The following is a 26,231-nucleotide window of genomic DNA, read 5'->3' on the forward strand; positions in this document are numbered from 1 at the left end:
ATTCTGTTACCATTAGGTCATAACTTTTTTTGTCCAATCCCATTTATACACAGCTGTATGTTTTTCATTAAAACTAAGCATAAAAATAGATTGTTTTCACTGGTCCTTTGGATCTTCATACCTGAAGGCTCCCACGTCACCTAAAACTTTGATTAAATCAATTTGTTATGTTTTCTTTTGCTAACCTGTCTTTTGAATAGCAGTGTCAGCCATGATCTTTATGATGAGTGAGGAAAGGTATAACACCTGTCTGCACCTATACCTTCTTTAGCATGTTGCTTATAATTGCTTGTTGTAATCAATCCAAAGAGTTTGCTTGCAGGAAATTAAGATTTAAATATAGAAGACAGGCAAGGTGTCAGAGAACCTAATGGGCCTCCAAATCTTTTATTAGTAAATACATTTATGTTAGCTACCATACTAACTCTAGAAATAGCTATTTATTCCATGATAGCAATTTGTTTACTCATTAATTTCAATATAGCCTAAATATTATCTCATATTCTTTTAATTAAATATTTTTGTATTAAATATAATTAACTTACATTCTAGTGCTAAAGACAACAGGTTTCTCACTCTCACCTTTTACTGGCTTTGGAGTTTAGATTGAATTCAGCAGATAGCTAAGTGACAGTGATTCAATTAACTTGAAATCACAGGGACGAGTCAAAAAGAAACGTTTTTTGTTAAGGGAGTAAATTTCAAATGTCTCACCACAAAAAGTTAGGTGATTGATATGTTAATTAGCTTAAATTAATTATTCCACATTACATAACTATATATGTGTGTGTATGTGTGTGTGTATAGTGAAACATCACATTGTACCCAATAAATATATACAATTATTATTTACCAATACAAAATAATTAAAAAGAAGAAAGGTCTTAATCGATGATGTGCTGAAGCCTAACACTCATTTTCAGTAAAAAAAAAACCCCAGATAATTGAAATTTAAATGTTTTTATTTTATATGTTTAACAAGGTTGTCATTAGAAGCATGAGAATTGCCTAAACTTGGTAATAATAATCCACAGTGACATGTTTTATTATTTTATTGTTTATAAAATATAGTGTTAATACAGCTCAAGATACTTGGATTACCAGTGCTACTAATTTTAAAGATACAAATACTTATATGCATCTGTAAAGAAGTAAGCCTGGTCAAGGTGTGATAGAAGCAAATTGTTGACCTGCGGGGATTGTACACATTTTACCACTGAGGGTGTAAATGTTATAAACAGCAAAACTTAGCTGTGAGTTTCACAAGTACAGTATTTGTTTTCAGGGTCACAAAGTTGGTGGGAAACTATATTTGTACTGCATGTTCCTAACCCACATCAACCCTTGGGCAAATTGTTATCATAATCATATTTGAGATGTGGTATAAATTAAATATAGATTTAAGCAATATATAGAAATCCATGGATTTATTTGTTCAATAAATAAATGAAAGTAGTATATTTTACTCATTAGTGTTAAAAGACAATATTTTAAAAATTAATTCACATGAAGATATAGAAATAAACATGTGTTGAATATTTTATTTAACTCGAGGTGGAGGTGGATGTTATAATTGGTTCAAATAAGAATCTAAATAAAAGGCACATTTATAGAGCACAAGTATTAAAATGGTGTATATATGGAGGCAAAATTAGCTTCTTCTCCAATTGAGGAATGATGGCTTTTGAACCTGTATTGGGCAGGGCAGAATTTTCATGTCTATAGACAAGAACTGTTTTGTATTGCTAAAAGTTTTCTACAGTAATTTGCAGAGTTATAGAGTAATTCATTTAATTAGAACTACAAACTGCAGGACTGACCTCTAGACACTCCTTTTCAGAGTTGTAGAATAAGTCATAGAATCAGATAAACTGCAAGAGTGTCCTATAGACAATGTGCTTCTACTGTAGCACAATTTTTTTTTCTGCAATACTAGATTTTGGATAATTTAACATATAGTTTAAAGACAACTGTGATACTTTGGAAATAAAATGAACTCTGCTGTCAAATGGAAGCTAGTATTGCCTTCATTTGTATCCTTTTTCAATATTTGTTCAAATCTTGTTTTTTGCCATCTAGTATCTGCATGGAGTCATCAGTCACCTACCGCTTCTGTGGCTCAGTTTCCTCCTTTGTAAAACAAATAATATAAATGCATGTAATGCAAGCCCTTTAGGAGGAGGAGCAAGGGACTACATGGCACAACATATGGAAAATACCCTAAATGAATATTATAAAAGTATGCTACATCATTCTTACAATAAATATTTCAGTTAGATATTGTTATGATTCTTAAAGTTCTTTGCTCAAAGTTGCATGCCCATATCACACCTAGAATTGACTCTTTAGTAATTTCTTAGAGCTGTATTTAGTATTCCACATTTTGCATATCAGCAAACCCATTTTATTCTCTCTGAAACTGGATCACTTCTAAAATTGTTAATGCCTAACAATTCCTCTTGCTCAGGGGGCTGTCTCAGGTGTAGTTCCCATTGATTGCATGTGCCCAAATCTGGTCTTTGTCGTTCACATTGTCGACAAATCAATTAAATTATGTGCTTTATTTAAATTAGTTATGTTGAAGTGTATGTTGAAGTAATTTGTCATTGAAATTGCCTTTAAAATAGTTTGTTATGCTTTACATTGAAACAAAAAAAATCTCAGTGTATTCAGAAAATTATAGAAACAAAAAATAATATATTCATTTTTAGAGGATTTATTAAAACTATTTAGTCTAAAAGAGTTTTTCATATATAAAATAAAAATTCAAAGCTATAAGGAAATCTTTCTTCATATTTTATGGGACACATTTTCTTTCTTAGTAAACATAAATGATAGTCCCTAATTACAATTGACAGTGTCCTAGATCCATTGAATTACAGCATACTAATTTATTTAATTTTTCAAAACAACACGGATAGATAGGTAGCTTTTATCATATTATGCAAATGAGAAACCTGGCATTCAGAAAATACTTAAACCTCAAAATCCTTACACCCAATCTAGTGACCTTTCTACTACCCTACCAATAATACTCAGAACACTTTCATTCTATAAAGATTTTGCTCACAGCATTAAGTAAACACATAATCTTTGAAGCAGCAATTTCTTGATCCATTATTTAATTCTTTAGAGATATGGCAGCTCAATTGTGCTCACAAAGAGGTGTTAAATTAAAACAAGTAAAATGTGACTTGTTTTAAACCAATCATAAAGGGAATATATTTATTTTTCCTTGTAAACACATGGTGCTGTGTTATTTCAGAAGATAATAAATGTTTCGTTCTATGTGTGATATTTGCTTTATAGCTGTTGTCACCTTTATGTGATAAGTCAGATGTATCAAATATATTACACTAATGTTTCATTATACATTCTGGAGAGCGTGTGATAATAAAGGTCTTACATAAACTCTGATTAGGCAATCACCCACGTATTGATCTCTTCCAAGAAATAGTCTTTCCACTCTAACTATATGTCTCCATATCAAGTTACATTTATACAGGGGTGTGTGTGTGTGTGTGTGTGTGTGTGTGTGTGTATTGCATAACTCACAGTTATTACACATCTGGAAAATTACTTAATCACATTACTTATCAAGAAACTACTAAAAAAAAGACAAACAATAATTAATGTCTACAGAGTAGTAAATTAGAGAAATGTAGCCCCATAAAATGTATTTCCTTAAGAATTGTGGCAGATAAAGGTCATTACAATGAATCTTTTGATTCCCTCAAGAAAAGATTAAGTTCTTAGGGATGCTTAGAAATGAAAAAGGCAAATAATGAAAGACACGGTATTAGGAAAACACATATTTACATCCATGCCTTTTTTTTCTGGTTATACATAAAAGGTTATTTTTTCTTTCTCACTGTTACTTAAGAATTTAAGTTGCAGACTATGTGAATAGGAATGAGAAGGCTTTATGATATCTCCCAGAGTCTTTTCTTTCATAGAATGTGGCAATAATGAATTTCAGCTGAGCCTGTATTTCCGGAAAACAAGAATCGTTAGGAAATCCCAAATTTTCCTAAGGCCCTATCTCTCCACCTCTTTTGTGTTCCAGAAATGGCTTGCTGTAAAGAACCATTCATCCCATATGACTTAGAATACACTCAACCTCCATTGTCCACTCTTCCACTCCTCAAAACTCACAGATGACTCCTTCAAAGCTTTCCTGTGATGAGACCAAACACAGTCAGCCCTTTTCCCTTCTCCTAAACCAGATGATAAGGTCAAGCACAGACCCTACAACTTTTCATTCTTTGTCTCATGCTTGATCAGCTGAGATTGGGACAAGTTATCCTAACTAGACACAGAGATAAGCATTGAAACTGACTAGACACAGAAATAAACATTTCCTCTTCAGCTGATAGAGTGAGATGATTTTCCTCATTGTCAAACAATCTCAACTCAAAATTGCCTTACCTATAACTTGTCTTCTCCTTCCCAGAAAAATCTAAAGCAAAACCACTCTGCAAACTCCTGCTGTTCTTCAGATCTAGGGTCCCCTTCCTACTTCAGTAGGCCAAACAAAATCAATTTTATTACTTGTTTGGCTTTAGTCTTTCACAAATGTGTAGTTAATCTGATTTAATTTTGTCATGGAAGTAAATGTACAACAGTGAGAACATTTAAACACAACATACAGCCATATCCAAAAAATAATGCACTTGATATTATTGTTATTAATTTACTTGTTGTTTTTATGTACTATCATATATCATTATGTATGTTAATAGCTGTAAAACTGTTTTGACATACCTATTGCCTTCTTTTGCATAAAAATTCCCCTCTTTTGTTTCACAAACAGGTTATTCTTCCCTAGAATGTACAGAAAACTTACTAAGCATGAAGATTTTTACAAGCTATAGAAAATATGATCCCTTCACAAGGAATGGGGAATCTAGCTACGAAGAACATAAAATAGAAAGAAAAATGAGAACACATGATATGACTTAAGGCATCTTTTCACATAACCAATTTAACTGTAATTTTTCTTTGGAGTTTTCTAGATTTCTTGTAAGAAAATATTCACATTTGAAAAACGTACATGTTATCTCCTAGATTGCCTTCTATTTTTTAATGATTTAATTCCTTAATTTTTTTACACTTAATCTTCTAACCCATCTTGAGTATTTTTTTGTTTGATGCGTAGTGGTGGTACATCTTTATTTTTTTTCTTGAGTCATAGTTTCAAACAATTTATAAAATGTCATATTTAGCTTCCACTACATTAGTATACATGTTTTTGTCATGTATTTCACACTTGCATACAGTTGAATCTATTTATAAATTGTCCATTTTGTCCAGATATCCATTTGCCTATTTATTTAAATCTATGCCAAAACATAGTACTTTACAGCCTATTTTCATTTCAGGCAAATTAAATTCTCCAATCACCACACTTTTTTTAAAACTCTCTGCATTTATTTTATTATTTTCTTGTGGACTTTAGAATGTACAAGATAGTTCCATCAGACTCACAGGATCCACAACACCCAACTCAAGCTTTCCTAGTCTTTTTGAGGATAAAGAGAAAAAGTGAGGAGATCTGAGCCTCATTGTCCCTCCCCACCCCCTCTGGTAGGTGTCCTCTGGCTCAATATGTCAGGGGAGAGAAAGTTCCAAGTGAGGTTTAATGAGGTAAGGGTACACAAGACAGGAATTTTATGAAACATTTCCATTTGGTACCCTGGAAATGTATACAGCTTATACAACATTTTGAAGGATGTTGTGCCTCTTAAGTCCATAGAGTATGGATATAATATGAGTAATGTTATAGCCAGGGCCACCTAACAGTGTACATTTTGTATTTATGATCTCTGCACTTTAGCAAATGTTATTTATCTATTTACCCAGAGATCCGCTTAAAAAAGGGCTTCTATAGGATCACCTGAATTCTTTCTAATTTTTTCTTTCCCCTATAAAGTGAATGGATTCCACAAAAAAAAAAAAAAAAAAAAAAAGCCACAGTGGAAAACTAAACAATCAATTTAGATATGTGATTCGCAGAACTACAAATATGGAATTGAGATGTAAAAAGTAATTCAACAACCCAGTAATACACTATATATATGTGTGTGTGTGTGTGTGTGTGTGTGTGTATATATATATATAGTATATATATTACAATATATAGCGAGAATGTACTCTATATATAGTGTATATACATACATATATATACACATACACATATATATAGATATCTTTACACACATATAAATTATTTCAGTAAGTATACGTTTTACAATCATAGTATTAGGAAGATAGGAAGCAGAACAGTGATTACAGATAGATCACTACCAATCTAATAACCCTCCTAATATTGAGGTAAATGTCAATGTGTGTACATTTTAAGAAGTAAAAATTCCTTTGCCAAATTATAATAGTGAGAGAAATCTAACACTGCTGATTCTGTCTTGCTTCTCACCTCACCAGCTAACTCCCCTGTGGATAAACCAACCTAACCGTGAGAGGAATTTAGTTTCTGCTTTAACCTTAAAGCGAGAATGATAATACTGTCTTCCCAAAACTATCCCCTCTCCTCATTTAGGGACAAAAACCATCTTTGTAAAACTAATGAAAGGCTACATGGTTTGAATTTCAGGAGGGGCCTGAATTCTACTAAGACCTATGCATAGTTAAGTGATAACCAGCCATTATTCCCTACCTTGCTTACATCTCAGGAGTCATGTAGCCAGAAGTCACAAGATTTGAAACGTTGTCATTATGCCTATAGATAACACAACCATTGTAGAACCTAAGATTTGTCTTTTGAGATGTTTTTCAAACTTGCATTCTGGCAACCAACTGACTCCATCTGAACCCATGACTCCTTACTCAACCAGTCCTGTGGCCCCCACACAGACTCTAACTCAGCACATAGAGATAGTTGTGACATTCTTATAATTTTATCCCCAACCAATCAGCAGCACCCATTTTCTAGCCCCCTGCCTGCCAAATTATCCTTTACAAACTTTAGCCTCTGAGTTTTGGGAGAAGTGGATTTGAGAAATATCTCTCATCCTTCCACTTGGCCACCTTGTGATAATTCAGCCCTTTCTCTGCTGCGAAACCACTGTCTCAGTGTTTTGACTTTTCTGTGCAGCAGGCAAGACGAACCCATTGGAATGTAATAGAGGGAGCCATAAAAGGAAAAATAATAAATGTGCGTTTTACTACCTACTCAGGGTTAATATTTTATACAATATTTTGAAAATATATTTTTCTCATCAGCTAAGCAAATCTTTTCCAAGACTTTGCAGGCAATTGCAAAATGACTATTTTAAAAATGGTTTAGTGTAATCCCAGCACTTTGGGAGGCTGAGGCGGGTGGATCACAAGGTCAGGAGATCAAGACCATCCTGGCTAACACAGTGAAACCCCACCTCTACTAAAAATACAAAAAAAAATTAGCTGGGTATGGTGGCGGGCACCTGTAGTCCCAGCTACTCGGGAGGCTGAGGCAGGAGAATAACTTGAACCCGGGAGGTAAAGCTTGCAGTGAGCCGAGATCGCACCACTGCACTCCCGTCTGGGTGACAAAGCGAGACTCCATCTCAAAAAGAAAAAAAAAGATTAGAATTTAAAATATTACAAATGTTTTCAATTCCAAGTTAAACTATTTTGCTTTCTTTCATTTAATCAATCAAGATCCTAATTGTAAAATTGTGACAAATAATCTCATAAGTGGGTTTAGATTTTCTAGGGAATTAAAGTGTTGTGGACCTGAAAAGAAAGCAGTAGGAGGCAAATTGCCACATATTCTGGTAAAAGACTATGAAAAACTAGTTATTTCACCAAGTCATTGGTTTTGAAGATCTCTGGCCTATCATAATGAATGAACATGCTCCCTCTAAATAAATTTAATTGAATTGAAAGATTTTGGAAAAAAATCATTCCTGTTTGGCTCTTGCTGCTTCAATGCTAGTAAATGTTAGAAAAATAGTATGAATTGCCAAAATAAACCATCAGCTGAATAGCCCATTGAAATTGACAGCAACCCAGCACTTTGGGAGGCCAAGGTGGGTAGATTGCATGAGCTCAGAAGTTCGAGACCAGCCTGGGCAACATAGTGAAATCCTGCCTCTAAAAAAAAAAAAAAAAAATTCACTGGACATGATAGCATGTGCCTGTAGTCCCAACTACACAGCAGGCTGAGGTGGGAGAATCGCTTGAGCCTGCAGGGTGGAGGTTGCAGTGAGCTGAGATCACACTGCTGCACTCCAGCCTAGGTAACAGAGCCAGTTCCTGTCTCAAAAAAAAAAAAAAAAAAAAAATTCATAGCAAAAGTGGTATGGAATGAGGGCAATATCTTTGTAAGACATTGTGTGGGTGCATTTATTTGTGTATGGGTAGTCTGTATGCATTAAATAGGAAGCATTTATAAATGGGGATTTAATTAATGACCATAGTAACTAGAAGTTCCTCATATAATTTGAACTTAAAATATTTTTTTGTGTGACTTTGAATATTGATTCTATTTGATGTTATTTTGCATATTGGTTTTAATTTGAAAAGGAGATCTTTTATTTGTGAATTTAGCTGTTTTACATAGCAATTATATAATCTAGTGGTGAGTGTATCATCCAATACTAAGTGGAAGACATGAGGTCCTATGTTGTTATGCCACTCCAGGAAGACATAACGCATATAATAAGGTAAGAACACGTCTATGTTTTGTGATGTACACTAAATAAAGTCCCTTTAAAATGATCGTTCAGCCAATATTCTGTGGTGCCTACTCATTAATGTTATTTTCTTAGATCATCCAACAGTCTTTCCATGACACAATTTAATTTCTGGAAGAAATTACCAACTTTGAAAATAAGAAGATAGGCAGTAAAAATGTTACCTTAAAAAAATAAGAAAACATTGAAAATAAATTATAAAGACATGAAATCAAAACTAATTTGTGAAGGAGTTGAAACAGTTTTATATTTTGTCCTGAGTTTTAAGATCAGGCAGTCCTAATGTACAAATCACAAGTCCTGACATGATCAGTAAAGCAATGCATGTTAAAAAAAAAAAAAAAAAAAAGATCTTTCTTTTCCCCCTACACATTTCTGGGACAACTCTTGATTTAATGTATCACAGCAAAACACATCAGATTATGAATATACTCTTTGTATAGTGTGTGAATCTAATTTGGCAATCTGAAACTGTTCCAGCTCATGATTTTATTTTAAATATATATTTAAAATATCATTGCATTAGCTCATTGACTTTTTTCTGTGTTTCAGATATATGGGTCTTTGAAACTGTCCTTGCTAGTGTTACTGGGGTGGAGGGGTCCTTGCTCCCAGAGCTCCCAATATGGTGGTGGCTGCTTCCAAGATGGCAGCAGGCCACTTCCAAGATGGTGGCAAGCCTCGTGTTCTCTGACCTGGGGTTCTTGGCCTCACGGATTCCAAGGAATGGAATTTTGGACCATGTGGTGAGTGTTACAGCTCTATTAGAAGGCGTGGGTCACGGAAGAGAACCATGGAACCCAGTGACTAGTGTTCAGCTTGATTAGGACAAACCCAGGCACTTAGCAGTGCAGGAACAATGGCAAGCCTTTAGCCCGATCGGGAGCAGCAATGGGCGCCTCACTGGATCAGGAGCACAGCGGACACCCTGTTGGATCTGGAGGGATGGAAGTCAGTGGCGGGTCTGCGACGGCAGCCAGCAGCAGTGGTGGACAGATGGCAAGTGAAAGCCCAGCTTGAGCCATAACAAACACAGACCAGAAGAGTGCAGTTGCAAGATTTAATAGAGTGAAAACAGAGCTCCCATACAAAGGGAGGCAACCCAAAGGGGGTTGCCCTTGCTGGCTCAAATGCCTGGGTTTATATGCTGATCCTTGTCCCTCCCACTGTGCTCTCAGGAAATAGATGATTGGCTATTTCTTTACCTCCTGCTTTTGCCTAATTAGCATTTTAGTGAGCTCTCTTTACTATCTGATTGGTCAGATGTGAGATAAATTGCAAGCCCCGTGTTTAAAGGTGGAAGCGGTCACCTTCCCAGCTAGGCTTAGGGATTCTTAGTCGGCCTAGGAAATCCAGCTAGTCCTGTCTCTCACTAGCATAAGAGGTAAAACAAAGGGTTCAATTTAAAAATAAAAGCAGCTATTTATTTGAATAAGGAAAGGGACTATTGAAGAATCTCATGATTTGGAGCAAAAGTTCTAATTTCTTTCAGGTGGACTTGAGAAGAGTCACTTATTATCTGTGTTATCTTATTTTTCTACTCACAGCTTTGTTTTAAAGAGGTAACTAAGTGTACGTGTATACAACTAGTCTGCTTTTGACAGCAGTATTGCAGAGTATCTATCACTTTTTACTTATTCTTTCTCTCAGGAATGCTTGCTTAAATTGCACCCACAAACTCCCAGCTGCTACAAACACTACTTCTGGGAACAGCCTCATCCATGCCCTCTTATGAACCCAAGTGAAACCTCACAGGTTTCCCTCAGTTGGGTCATTGCACATGTCAATGTTTAATTTGAATAAGCATTGTCAGATACTTTCAAAATGGCTGCACAAGTTCTAATTTCCAGCACCTGTCATATTCTACACTTCCACTTTCTTTCTACACTAAGGTACATAAATATATGCCAGGCCTTCACCTAATTTCTTGACATTTACTTTGTTTCTCATGATATTCCTTCTGTGGAAGATATAAAAATCAGTCTTTTATAATTATACCATCACTTGTTAGCTTTGCTAATATGTGTGTGTGTGTATTTCACTTAATATCTTTATATATATATATATATACACACACGCATATATTTCACTAATGGCCACTGATCATGCACTATTAATGTTTAATCTCATAATGCAGGAATACATAAGCATGTAAGCAGTTATAGTTTCAGAAAGCAGATGAAATGTTTATCTGAATGATACTACTATTTAATGGTTCGATTTTGGGCAGGTTACTTTCCAAAACCACTTTGTTTCCCTATTATTTAAGAGGTGCCAATTTGATAAAATGGCTTTAAAAATTAAATGAGATATTACACATCAAATTAGTAACAGTAGGCCCCAAATATATGTGTGGGAAAATAAATCTTTCCTAGATTTCTTAATGTTCTAGTAAAAAAGACTCAGCCTTCTGAGTCTTGGAAATAGAGACTCTTTGGTTTCTTCACCCTCATGAACCTTTTACTTTGCTGATACCATGAGGATTAGAACTACAGTCCTTTGTTTTTCTACTGGTGAAACTAATTGCTTCCATTCAAAAGGTTAATCAACTTTCCTCTATCTACCCAAGAGTCAAATGTTACTTTGTAGGACACATACCTAGGCTGAATAAACCGGAGACCCCCAGGGCGAGATGATTGCATTTCAAGGGACTAAGATCCAGGAAAGAGGAGAAATCCCTGGGGCTATAAAGCTGAAGAGGATGGGTCTTTTCTTTTTACTGAAGAGATTTATTTACATTCCGAAGGACTTAGAGTGAAAACTCAGGATCCTACCCATCCATCCCTTCTTTAAGGAGACTCTCAGAAAGGGAGGGAGACAAGAGTCTCTTTTCTACACAAATTCCCAGATTCGTGGTTTTGGCATTTCTTGCTTCTGATATTATGTGTAGCATCATAGGCTCTCATCATATTGTCCCAGAGGTAAGATTTAGGCATGGGGGAACCATACAGTTATGATTGGCTTGTAAGTATTTACTTTTAAATTGCAAAAACCACAATTACTTTTGCACCAACCTAATATGTACATTCAGGATACTATTAGTAAATATGGATATTACAAACCATAGAAGGAAGAATGAAGACAATAGTTTGAATTTAATGCTAGAAAAGGCATCTTTATATTGGGTTTTGAATACAAAGTACGGTACAGGAAGACATCCAATAGGTAAATGGGCTCAGATAAATGTAAGGAAATCTATTATTAGATCATTACCTTTCAGATATTCTTTTTCAAAAATTAGTCTACCCAGGAAGTTACCTGTGTTCTGCTAGTTCTTTATTTCTATGGCCTCTCCTTTCAATGTATTTTTAATTTTTTTCAATTTTTAAATTTTTATGGGTACATAATTGTTGTATATATTTATAGGGTACATGTGATGTTTTGATATAGGAACACAATGTGTAACAATCAAATCGGGGTAATTAGGATATCCATCACTTGAAATCTTTATTAATTCCTTGTGTTAGAAACATTCCAATTCTACTGTTTTAGTTTGTTTTCAATACATAATAAATTATTGTTAACTATAGTCACCCTATTATTGTGCTACTGAATGCCAGGACTTATTCATTTGACCTGTTAAAGCAAACACAGTATGGCCTGAGAAGGACTCCGTACTTCTTTATTCGAGTCCTTGAGGATGAACTGCAAGCTGATTTAATAGGCAGACGAGACTGAAAACCTAACTTAGGAGTATGCGCCTGTAACAATAGCTGAGTCTTGGCCAATCCCAGCAGTCATACTTCAATCACTCATAGATTGCTAAAGTGTTCAAACTGTGTTCAAATAAGGCAAAGGCCAACCTGTAACCAATCCAACTCTTTCTGTACCTCACTTCTGATTTCTGTATGTCACTTCCCTTTTTTTGTCTGTAAATTTATTCTGACCAGGAGGCATCCCTGGAGTCTCTCAAATCTGATGTGATTCTGGGGGTGTCCAATTTGTGAATCGTTCATTTCTCAGTTAAACTCCTTTAAGTTTAATTCAGCTGAAGGTTTTCTTTTAACAGATCTAACTGTATTTTTGTAGCCATTAGACAAACCTTTTTTATCTCATCTCCCCAGTACCATTCTTAGCCTCTGGCAACCATCATTCTATTCTCTATCTCTCTGAAGCTTGCTACCTGGAGGCTACAACTCCATGATAAAACCTTGGTCTCCACAACCCCTTATCATAACCAAGATATTTCTTTCTACTGATACCAAGTCTTTAGATAATAACTCTTTCAACAAAGTGCTAATCAGAACATTTGAATCTGCCTATAACCTGGTAACTGCTGCTTCTAGTTGTGCAGACTTTCCAGTCTGAACTAATGGACATCTGACATGTATTGATTGATGTCTTATGTCTCCCTAAAATGTATAAAACTAAGCTGTATTCCGACCACCATGGGTGCATGTTCTGTTGCGGGAAGTCAGGGACCCTGAAGGGAGGGACCAGCTGAAGCCATGGCAGAAGAACATAAATTGTGACGATTTCATGGACGTTTATTAGTTCCCCAAATTAATACTTTTATAATTTCTTACGTCTGTATTTACTGCAATCTCTGAACATAAATTGTGAAGATTTGATGGACATTTATCACTTCCCCAATCAATACTCTTGTGATTTCCTATGCCTGTCTTTACTTTAATCTCTTAATCCCGTCATCCTCCTAAGCTGAGGATGAATGTCACCTCAGGACCCTGTGGTGAATGTGTTAACTGTACAAATTGTTTAAACAACATGAAATCTGGGCACCTTGAAAAAAGAACAGGATAACAGCGATGTTCAGGGAACAAGGGAGATAACCTTAAAGTCTGGCTGCCAGTGGTCCAGGCAGAACAGAGCCATATGTCTCTTCTTTCAAAAGCAAATAGGAGAAATATTGCTGAATTCTTTTTCTCAGCAAGGAACAGCCCTGAGAAAGAGAATGTGTTCCCAAGGGGAGGCCTCTGAAATGGCCGCTTTGGGAACGTCTGTCTTTTACAGTTGTAGATTAGGGATGGAATAAGCCCCGGTCTCCCGTAGAGCTCCCAGGCTTATTAGGAAGAGGAAATTCCCACCTAATAAATTTTAGTCAGACCGGTTGTCTGCTCTCAAACCCTGTCTCCTGATAAGTTGTTATCTGTGACAATGTGTGCCCAAAACTTCACTAGCAATTTTAATTTCGCCCTGGTCCTGTGATCTTGCCCTGCCTCCATTTGCCTTGTGATATTTTATTACCTTGTGAAGCATGTGATCTCTGTGACCCACACCCTATTTGTACACTCCCTCCCCTTTTGAAAATCACTAATAAAAACTTTCTGGCTTTGTGGTTTGGGGGCATCATGGAACCTGCAGACATGTGATGTCTCCCCCGAACAACCAGCTTTAAAATTTCTCTCTTTTGTACTCTTTCCTTTTATTTCTCAGACCAGCCAACACTTAGGGAAAATAGAAAAGGATCCACGTGAAATATTGGGGGCTGAATTTCCCCCGATATGTTCTCAGGATCTCCAGAGGGCTGTGTCAGGGGTCATTGGTTCAGAAAATTTCTTCAAATATTTTACTGAGTTCAACTCTTTATGTTGACACATAGCTTTGCTATTGTATCTCTTCAATATATTGATTTCCTTTCTATATATCCAGTGGTAGGGTTGCTCAAGCATATAGTAGCTCTAAAGGAACCTCCATGCTGTTCTTAATAAAGGTTGTATTAATTTACATTCCTGCCAACAGTGTGTGAGCGTTCCTCTTTCCCCACATCCTCACCAATGCTTGTTATTGCTCATCTTTTGAATAAAAGCCATTTTGAATGAGATGAGATGACATGTCATAATTTTGATGTAATTTTCTTTCAATATATCTGTCTCTCACCTCATAAAAGAAAGGCATAATGTCCTTCATGGGATATTTTACAATGGTCCTTACATCCCTAGGAATAAAACCTTATGAATGAACACAAAAAAAGGGCTGAATCAATTGTGAATATGTAAACCCTGATGACAAGTTACATACAGCATAAAAAGAAAAAAAGAAAAAAGGTTTGTGTCATTAATATTACAAAGCAGGCTTGTTTTTCCCTCCAAGTGACAAACTTATGACATAGTCTTTTCCTTCCCTCCTCCCTTCTTTCCTTCTTTTCACTATGTTAGAATTAAGAGATGAGATAATTGTCATGAGAACACCTATTAATATATTTATTTGAATGTAAAATTTAATTTCTGTCTTAAGTTTGATTGATTGATCATATTTTACAATTGGGACTGGCTTTGCTGACTAGATAAACTTGTAGACAATTTTCTCAAATGAAATAAAATAAATATGCAGAACCAATATTTATATCAATATTTTAGTAATATTGTTTATGCCTATACAGTTTTAAAACTGGAAGAAACTATTTTGTTTTCAACTGTTAAAACTTTTAAATGTTTTAGATATTAATCTGACAATATACAGGAGGGCAAAGAGGTTTTCAAAATTATTTCAGAAAATGTGGTCCAAATGTTTGTAAAATAGGTTAAGATCTTTCCATTTCCCTAATTTACTAGAGATTAAACTCAGGCCCATAGATATTGAATCTGTTTTTCAGTATCAGAGAAAAACACTCGACAAGTTTTTTTTTTATTGGCTATAATTAAATATATTTCACATCATATGCTTATGCAACTGCATTTAAAATGATTAGAATATGTTCAAATTATTTTGTTCATGTTTTTCCCCCTCCCCAACACTTCGTATATTGAAGCCCTAACCCCTAATGTGACTATATCTGGAGATTGTGTTTTTAGGAGGTAATTAAGTGAGGTCAAGGAGAGAATGGAGTCCTAAGTCCATAGGACTATGCCTTGTAGAAGGGGAAGATTGATTCTCTCTTCTCTTCTCCTCTTTTTCTTTCTTTTCATGGTGAGAAGGTGACTGTCTGCAAGAGCCAGGAAGAGAGCTCTCCTGGAACTCAGTCTTTGACTATACAGCCTCCAGATTTGCGAAAAGCAAATTTTGGTTGTTTATAAGTTATCTAGTCTCAGGTATTTTGTTACAGAACAGGAATAAACTAAAACAGTCTCCATGTGACAAATTATATTAGGGTTCTTCAGAGAAACGAAAAATAGGATATAGATTTGGATATAGATTTAGATATATGAGGACATTTATTCTGGGAATGGCTCATGTCATTATGAAAGCCGAAAAAAAAAAAAATCCCACAAAATGCCATCTGCAAGCTGAAGCACCTGAAAGTCTAAGAAACAGGGGAGCCAATGATATAACTTCCAGTCCAAGGCCAAAGAGAGAGATAGAGGTGCTCATGCTGTCCTGAAGTACAAAGGCCCTTGAAAGGAGCTCCAGTGTCTGAGAGGAAGAGAAGATGAAAGTCCCAGCTTAAGAAGAGAGACAGCAAACTCGCTCTTTTTTTGCCTATGATAATGGCCACCCACATAGGTGAAGACCGATATTCTGATTCTCCTTTATTCAGTTACTAATTCAAAAGCTACTCTCTTTTAGAAACCACCACAGGCCTACCCAGAAATAGTGCTTTATCACCTATCCAGGCATCCCTTAACCCAGTCATTTGACACAAAATTAACCACTACACAAATACTATTAATGTGAGTACAACTTGAGGAAATAGCAGCTATTTAAATGCTACTTAATAAAAATCAAGGCAGAGTTTAGATAAAATTATTTGTTAAAATGCTAACATTTATCCACTAAGATAAACTTTAATACTGTATCCATTTTATGTCACTTTCTGCCACCCTATATGAATTTAACCATAGTATATATTAGCATCATCAACAAATTAAATATTTCTAAATAATACACTTCAGTTACGTGTTTCAGACACATGTAAATATCAGGAGGAAAAAATTATATAACATATGAAAGAATTTTAAACATTATTCAAGTGTTACTTGAAGACATTTGGAAAACATTCTGAAAGCAGTCATTAAGTTTATGTATCTTCATATAATTCATTAAAAGTATAATTATTCTATTAAAAAACTTGTAAAATATATTTTTTTAACATGTAATTGCCTTAAAATATCAAACACAAACTGAGTCTATGTCTAAACATATCTCTTAAAATATGGCATGAGTCTAGCCTAGAAAAACTCTGCACAAAGTCTGATGGTGGTGAAGCCAAGGTCAGATTTTAATTGTTGCATGTAATGTAGTTCTGTGTTCAGAAATGTTACTCAGAGAGTTTTATGTAATAATCATAAAGGTATCCAGGTGACAATATAAGATCAATAAGTTCATTTTCTTCATATTAAGGAAACAATTCAAAGGATGTGCTAATGATGAAGAATTAACTAAGCTCTTAAATTAATTATCCTCAAATATAATTCTCAGTTTAAAGTTATAGTGCCTGTCACTTGGAAGTCATTAAGACATAGTAATTGGTATAATATTTTGAAAAAAAACTGAAATGAGAAACACTCATTTTTTTAAATTCATGATATTGTTTGGCTGTTCAGCCACTAAATCAATGAGACTTAGTACATCAGATAAAGAGCAATAATGGCTACAATAATAAATTTGTTTCTCAGTTTTAACTGTCAATCTATTTCTGATTTTACACTATGACTCTTGTCTTACCAGGAAGGCTTTGACAAAACATAAATGGGATTTATCTACTTTGAAGACATTATGTTTACATATCAAGAGATAAACCCAGTGAACTCAGAATGGAATTTTTTGCTGATTCAGACCCTACATAACAGACCCTCACTCGTTAATTCTTTTTTTTTTTTTTTTTGAGACGGTGTCTCACTCTATTGCCCAGGCTGGAGTGCAATGGCATGATCTTCGCTCACTGTAACCTCTGCCTCCTGGGTTCAAGTGATTCCCCTGCCTTAGCCTCCTGAGTAGCTGGGATTACAGGCCCCCACCACCATACCCAGCTAATTTTTGTATTTTTAGTAGAGCCAGGGTTTCACCAATGTTGGCCAGGCTGGTCTCGAACTTCTGACCTAGTAATCCACCCACCTCAGCCTCCCAAAGTTCTGGGATTACAGGTGTGAGCCACCGCACCTGGCTCACTCTTTGTTTCTTAGTAACAATATTCCAGATATTTAGGCTAGCCTTTAACCCTGTCTTAGGCAGTAAATTACCTTTAGTCTTGGCCAGTCATGACAACTGCTTTCCTTTTGCCAGGTACTCATTCCACCAGTTCCCCTCCCCTGTAGAAAGAACAGTATAATTGTGACTTTTAAGTGATGTGACTTAAGCAATTGATATGTAAGAGGTAATCTTTTGGGGGCTTCTGGGAACAATTTTAGTTGTATCTAGGTAAAAATAAGTATTTCTGTCTCATACACCTCAATTTCCTGTTTTGGAATGTGATCATGTGTGTCAATTTTCACAATAAAGCAATACTCTTTTTTTTTTTTTTTTTTTCTAGAGACAAGGTCTCATTCTGTCACCCAGGCTAGAGTGTGGTGGTGTGATCATAGCTGACTGCAGCCCTGAACCCTTGATTTCAAGCAATGCTCCCACTTCAGCCTCTTGAAGAGCTAGGACTACAGGCTTGCAACACCATACCCCCCTAATTAAAATAAAGTTTTTTTTTTTCTAGAGATGGGGTCTTGCTATGTTGCCCAGGCTGATCTCAAACTCCTGACCTCAAGTGATCCTCCTGCCTGGGCCTCCAGTGCTGGAATTACAGGCTTGAGGCACTGCACCTGGCTAAGGCAATGCTGTTAAGGTAAAATGTCAACATGTATATTGAGACATACCTGAAGGATGGGGTACAATCCAGCTAGGACCAACCTACACAATTATCAGGTAGGAAAAATAAATTTTTCCTTGTTTGTTTAAATCACTATTACCTTGATTTCCATTAGTAACAGCTGATAATATTCCTAAAGGGAAAGATCCAAACATATGGAACTCAATGTCGTAGAGAAAAGCAATCAAAAGCCACATTTTATATCCCAAATTTTGGTTTGTTCTAGGGGAGACCATATTATAAAATTATCTTTACCAAAAAAAAAATATTGATAGGATTTGAGTTCTACTTTTCTCCCATGCTACTTGCTAATTATTCTCTTCCAAACAGAGAATGTAAGAAGGCTGGCAAAGTCTATATTAAGAATAGTTTCTCCTTACCTGGGACAATTCCTTGAATTGCCTTGGTCACAACCTATTAAGCTGAGGGCTAGAGGAAAGACAGAGCACAGAACCTGTTGGGTAAAATAAAAGGAAAATTATCACATTTGTAGACTGTAATTAGTCAAGAAACTTGGCTTTATATTTTAAAACTGACGAGATATAAATATTTCAAAATCTCAATAAATGATTGAAAAAAAAATATTAGCCAGAAACTTCAAATCTTGAAAACAAACAAATGTGAATAGTCACCCGCTAAAATGACCCCAAGCTTCCAAATCTTCACTATTAGGCAATGAAAACTGGACATGATTTATGTTAAGTCCTATCCAATTCCCAATTCATGTGTAACCACGGAAGACAATGGACAAAGAATCTTCTGCTTCCCTTAAAGTGATTCTTTTATATAGAAAACCTATTATCAGACTCTCAGGAATAAAGCTCTAGGCCACCCCACAAGGCAAGCAACTCAGACCAGCTGAAGGGGGTGTAGAAAAAAAAGACAGGATAAGAATTAAACATAGTCTCTGCTCTAGTTGCAGTAATGGGGGGCAATGGCTTAGTTTGCTAACCCCTTTTACAGTGTTTTAGAAAAGGGGTTGGCAAACTTATTTTGTAAACAGATATAGAGTATTTTCAGTTTTATAGGAAACCTAGCATATATATATCACAGATTTTTCTCTTGTTTTCTTCAATTTTTAAGTACATAAATGGTATCTAGAAACATACAAAACAGACTCATGGGCTGGACTAGGCCATGGGCCTAGTTTGCTGGCCCTTGATTGCAACTAGCAACAACATGTAAGAACTGGATCTTTCTTCCCTTCTCAGGGAAAACTTCAGGGCATCTTATTTTCTAGTAAAACTTTAATATCCTGAATGTAAAAGTGGATTTGATGTATACAAATAGTAATTTGAGCCATATTCAGTTTATGTATCAGTCCAGATTTTTGCATCTTTGTTTTCTGGCCAGAGAAGGCTTATGAAGGGTAAATCCAACTTGTGTTGGCACAGAGCTGGGTTGCTATTTTTCCTGTATCTGTTGCTACTGATGAGAACGCTGGTGCTATTGCTGTTCTTACTCTCTTGTGTCACCCACTGGCAAAAATAAACAATGCTTCATCTGATGTGCAGTCAGCTACACTCTTGTCACATCTCACTGAGTACCTTCTTGTAGTCTCTCTGTAGAAGGCTGGCAATAACAGATCGTTTGTGTTGATGCTGTGGCTAGTTCTGTAACAAACTCTCTTATAAGATCCCCTTTTTCCCTATCTCACTTTTTTTTTTTTTTTTTTTTTAGACAGAGTCTTACACTGTCACATAGGCTGGAGTGCAGTGACTTGATCTCGGCTCACTGCAACCACCACCTCCCAGGCTCAAGCAATTCTCCTGCCTCAGCCCCCCGAGTAGCTGGGACTACAGGCACACACCACCTTGCCTGGCTCACTTTTGTATTTTAATTAGAGATAGGGTCTCGCCATGTTGGCCAGGCTGGTCTCAAACTCCTGGCCTTAAGTGTTCCACCTGCCTTGGCTTTCCAAAGTGCTGGGATTATAGGTGTGAGCCACCGAGCCCTCCCCCTACCTCACTTCTTTGTTCTCTCTTTCCTGCTTCTCTGGGCTTTAATCTTATGATCCCATTATCAGTGCTACTTATAATTTTGAATTCTGAAAGAAAATCTGCTTAGCAGATTTCCTTGTGTCATGATGTAGAAATCAAAGCATGATATATTTGGGGAAATAGAAAAGCCTTGAGGTTGACCAGTCTTCCTCACTTCTTCCATTGCGTCTTGCCTTATAAAGTATAGTGAGACATTTCCGCATGCTCATCATAAAAAGCTGAGAGAACAACATCGGTGATCCTCCTACAGGGCAAGTAGGGTAAGGGGCAATGAGTGCCTTAGTAGAAGTTGCCAGGAAGCGTCAACCAAGACATTCACAAAAATAAGTGAATGTTTACACAATGTGGCCAATGCTTCTCCAACACAGCGAGATTACAAATGCTTTTTTCTTAAGTCTATATTTCAATTTGGATTATGTGATACACATTTAGACAGACAGTGAGAATGTTTTTGGAGGATCTACAATTTAAAATGTTCCCCAATGTTGGAAAAAATGTCAATGTTTCATATAAAATTTTATGTATATAAATTTGCAACTCTAGCACCTTTCTATTTCTTACAATTAAGAACACATTTCAAAAAATTCCAAAATAATTTTATTTCTAATACTATGTTTTTATATAAAAAGAATCTGTTCCATTCTTCTTAGTAGTCTCTCAACACCATTATGTTACATTTAGACAAAATGCATTGAGTTATCAGAGGAACGTACAATAGAACAAAACCTCCCAAAGTTGGTGAGAGACAAGTACACATTTCTGAGTTACTCTTAACACCAGACAGTTTTAAAACACATAGAAGTGAAGAATGAATAAAGTATGACCTAGTAGGTATAATAATTTTTGTAAAGTGCAGCCAGGAATGTCTCTTTCTATAATAGCTATTGAATTTACAAACACAATTAAGGAGAGCTACTAGGCTCATGCATCAATTGGACCTGAAGTCTTTACTGAAAACTCCCATTAGTGTCAAAAGCAAGAAATAGGAGCAAGTTTTACTAACACTGTTAGTTTTTCTAATGTAAGGGGAGATAGCAGGGAAATCTGTTGAATGCATGTACATGGTAGTTTTAAACAAATTATTATAGACACAGCATATCTGTAATGTTCATTTATTTGGATGTTCACTTATTCATAAGAATATACCACACCAAAGAAGAAAAAATGAAACCTGCCACCTGTTGACAAAATTTTAAATGTCAGTAATGTTTATTTTATTTGTTTACTAATTCCTTTTTGATTTTCATACACAAAAATATCCATTTAAAGTTTTATTACCCTTTTATTGAATCATTGGTAAAACCTGAAGAGGAATTTTACATAGAATGGGGTAGGAGCTAAGGAAACAGAAAAATAAATAATAAGAAAGTCATATAGTCTTAATATTTAAAGCTAACAGAGGGAAATAAATAATTGGAAATATAAGAAAGATAAATTGTACAATATGTAACATATAATGAGAGTATCACCTTTGATTTTTCATAAATATATATAGTAATTTAATGTGAGAGCTAAAAGATGTCAGATACCTTCCCTGTATTATCTGACTTAAATTTATTTATATCAACTTAAATTAACAGTTTGTGTGTGTGTGTGTTTTGTTAAAGGATTTCTTATTTTCTTGTTTAAAAAAATAGTGGCTTGAGGAAGCTTCAATGTCTCCCTTAAAATAGTCTTGTTATTGAATAACTTAGCATTGAACATTTGTAAAATTAAGAAAAATGTACCTTCCTGCTCTAAGACTGCTTTCCTCGTTTTTGCAAAATTCATATTGAAAAAGTTTGCTCCTTTGAATATTAGGCTGTTATCATTAATTCTTCCCTTTTATGTTATTTACCTTAGCAAACTTTGTATCCAATACATACATTTTATATCATTTTATGACTGGATGAAAAACAATACTGAATATGAAGAATCTCAAGATGAATCTCAACATTTTATAGTAAGGAGATAAAAAAGAAGGCATGGTTTTTAAAGGTATATCAAGTCTCTGAAAATAAAGACTCAGAAGAAAATATTTATTCTGGCGTCTTTGTCAGAGATAAGTTTGTGATATATCTCCAGCGAATTGTTTCATTTATGGAGCTGACAAGTTTATAAGTTAAGGTGATGATGAACACATAGTACTTATATATACATTTATACGCATTTGCATAACCTCCTTCTTTTAATTTTCCAAACTATATAAGTGCCCTTGTACAAAATAAAATTACATACGTGCTCAGGACCTGTGTCTGAAATTGTAGGATCAAAAAGCTTCCACCAGTGCTCTCTCTCCTACCACATCTAGCCTAATGTGTCTGCTGTCTTTCTAGGACCTCATAACCTGGTCTCATCTTCCGTCCATTATGATTCCCTTCTAAACCTCCGTGATAATCAGGCTGGACTTCCTGTTTAGCTTTCAGTTTTGCTGGCATCCTCTCTTACTGTCTAACTGTCACCCCAGAAACACACTCGTATTTAAGGAACCACACTAAATAAAGGATAGCTGTGACACCATGTGTCATTTTATGGATGAATCTTTCCCCAAATGTTTCTCACTATCTCAGTTTGGAATAATTTTCCTTCCTGTGCATATTTTACCTCTATTCTTGAACATAGAAAGGTGTATTCGAATCAACCATATAAAACTGTCAACATCCTCTCATTTTTAACTTACAAAAATGGCAATTTTATACAAAACGCAGGTTATTAAATTGTATTTAATATGAATAATATCTGGTCATGATGGCAATTTTTACTAAACAAATAATTTTTATATTTGGAGATAGAAACTAGAAAACGTGTTCTTTTGAAACTGTACAGTAATCTTCGATGTACTTTGAAATATGCAGGTAAGAGGAATCAGTGCTTGGCTTTTTCAATACTTCATGACGTGTTAGTTGTTTGCTCCATGTATTGTTGTATGCTTCTCTAGTCAATGCTCTGAAAAAGTGTTTCTACCCTTTTTAAAAATAGCACTGGAATTTTTTCTTTGTGTACAACCTTATGTAAAAAGCTAATGTATAGAAAAATGATGGTGGATATTTTCTTGTGGAAAAAGGTTAACTAGGAGCTTCATTTCCTCAGCGTGTCCATTGCACCCCAACCCAGGATCACCTGGGTAACTCAGGTACCCTGTAGTGCAAGATTCTCAACTCATTCGACTGCAGTAGTAAGGACCAGTTTTAGCATCTGAAGGATACTGGTTAACGTACAGCGGGAAACCAGAGTAAGAATTCTTTCAGAATATTCACATGAATAATGCACCAGGGCACCAAGTCAGTGCTTGCTGATTCTGTTTGTAGTATGGCGTTTACTAGGGTAGAGGTCCGAAATCCTAAAACACACTTGAGATTGTTCCTCTCTGAATAGACTAGTATACACGATCTGTCAAATGTATCGTTTAGTTTGGAGCCCAAAGACAAATCACTCCCTAAAGCGCACCTGTGGTACAGCATTTTAGTAGTGCTCTTTATGACCCTTTACAGTCACTTTACAATTACTTTTTAAAGTCAATCTATTTTTTTCACTCCCCCCACACACAGTTTAAAGAAAGGTAAAGGCAATCAGTATATTCACAATTATGATGCCTTAACATCACAAACTATTGATATTATATTGTTTTTAAATTATGCAAATTACATGTCAATATTAGCCCCTAGGGATATTGGAATCATAAAGGGGAGATACAGCATTAATTGAGCTTTTAGTTCAAGGAAGTACACTAAATTCTGTGACACTGATAAAATGAATTCTCAGATAGTTCCAAATAATTCCATTTTTATCTAGACTCTACAGAAAATTAATTTTATCACTTAAATTATCATGTACTTTGACAAACTTGAAACGATAAATAGAATAGCAATGTAATGATAATTTTTATTCCAAAATTCATGTCTCCATACAACACAACAACATAGAAGGGTTAGCATTAAATTATATCTTTTCTACCTATTAACCTTGAGATATTGCACCAGTCAAAACCAAATTTGTACTCTCAGTGGTGTTCAGAGATTTATTCCTTCCATTAGGTACATACTCAGCAGTGAACTTAGGCTAATGTACTTTCAATAAAAAGGTGGCAAATGTAAAGCATTTTGTATTAGCTTAAGAAAATATGTTTCAATCATTAAAAATTAAAATTTCCCTTCTTAACACATATCTCTTTTTCCCCTTTAGCCATATAATCACCTCTTTATTTAAGTAATGGTGACCTAGCGTTGGTTATTTCCTGGCAGAAAAAAAAAATAATCACATTATTACCTGCTGGGAATACCCTATCCAGGAGTCACTAAAACTATTATAAACCATAAATATACAAAGAGAACTAAAATGAAAAAAACGTAACCATTATACATTAATAAATCCCAAGATTTTTAAAGCAAGAAAGGGAAGATGGTAAAGATTTTTTGAAGTTGAATAAAATACAGTATTGTATAATAACCATTTATTATATTAACACCATTTTATAATACCGTTTAATCTTATTATCTTTCTGTTAATTTATTACTAGAAGAAAAATGTTAACATTCTAATTCTGTCTCAGGTATTTTTTCAGTTGAAAAGAATTATTTATAATATTATTTTGTCTTACAAAGAAGGGTTTTTAAAATTGGTCACAAATTAAATTAACAACATATTTTTCTGAAAGACTAGCATTTGATTTTGAGCGTGTTATTTTTCATAAGAATCAAAGAAATAGATGTATTTGTGTGTAGGTGTGCCTAGATGTTAAGTTTGACATATGCAAACCTAATCTATAACCCTAAAGTTGATTTTAGTAAACTGCTTTTAATTTCTAATATGATACTTTTTATCTCTAAATTATCTGCCTCTATCTGTGCACCCATAGAAACAAATTATAAAAATGTTAAGCAATTAAATAAATCAATCAGTAAGTATCAAAACAACCTCAAGAAACAATACTACCTCATAAAAATTTCAAAAATAATTATAAGAAAACTTTAAAATACTCATAAAAATGTAACTAGTAGCAGTGGTTCCTTTTTGTATTTCTCTTACTATACTTTACATTTATTAATAATATTAATTTAGAGGCTGAGTGAGGCTCATATTTGTCCCCTCACTTTGGCAGGCTAAGGTGGGAGGACTACTTGAAGCTAGGAGTTCAAGGTCAGCCTGGGCAATATAGTGACACTCTATACAAATATTGAAAAATAATCATATTAGTTTAGAGTATTTTTTAACTCTGAACATTCAGAGTTTTGAAAGCATGCATATTTTGGTATTTTTTATTAAGATTTTCCTTTTGGATTACTTTGACGGACACCTTTATATCTTGAATCGATGTAGAATTTAAAATGAAATCTGTCTACCTGACAGAGTTGTGAGGATTACAGGTGAAGAAAAATCTTGTAATAAGGAGAGATAAAGATTCTCAAGAAGAACACAAAGGGAACTAATTGTAAAGACAAATATTCATAAACTGAATTTTATCTACATATCTAGGGTTGGTTATTTCCTGGCAGAAAAGAAATCACATTATTACCTGCTGAGAAAAAAATTTTATCTACATATCTAGATAGAATTCAGTTTATGAATATTTATTTCATACACCCAGGTAATTTTTGTATTTTTTTATAGAGATTAGGTCTCACTATGTTGCCCAGCTGGTCTCAAACTCCTGGGCTCAAGCCAACCTCCCTTCTCAGCCTCTCAAAGTGCTGGGATTACAGATGTGAGCCACTGCGTCCAGCCTTAAATGAAAACTTTTTCTCATCAAAGACATTGCTAAAAAAATGAAGCCGCAAGACACAACCTGGAGACACATGTGCAATACATATATCTGATAAAGGTCTCACATCCAGAAGATGTGCAGAACACCTATCAGATTTAAAATGA

The 26,231-nt window shown here is 34.9% G+C and overlaps 1 annotated feature.

The window, feature by feature from the left end:
• Positions 10,869 to 11,754: an enhancer, noted in NCBI's record as "OCT4-NANOG hESC enhancer chr18:63938916-63939801 (GRCh37/hg19 assembly coordinates)". NCBI's record gives its function as "activates a minimal SCP1, AML or CMV promoter by ChIP-STARR-seq in naive and primed H9 embryonic stem cells {active_cell/tissue: H9 hESC(naive and primed)}" and the evidence as "EXISTENCE:reporter gene assay evidence [ECO:0000049][PMID:30033119]".

This window comes from Homo sapiens, chromosome 18, assembly GCF_000001405.40.
Source record: "Homo sapiens chromosome 18, GRCh38.p14 Primary Assembly".
Taxonomy (NCBI): domain Eukaryota; kingdom Metazoa; phylum Chordata; class Mammalia; order Primates; family Hominidae; genus Homo; species Homo sapiens.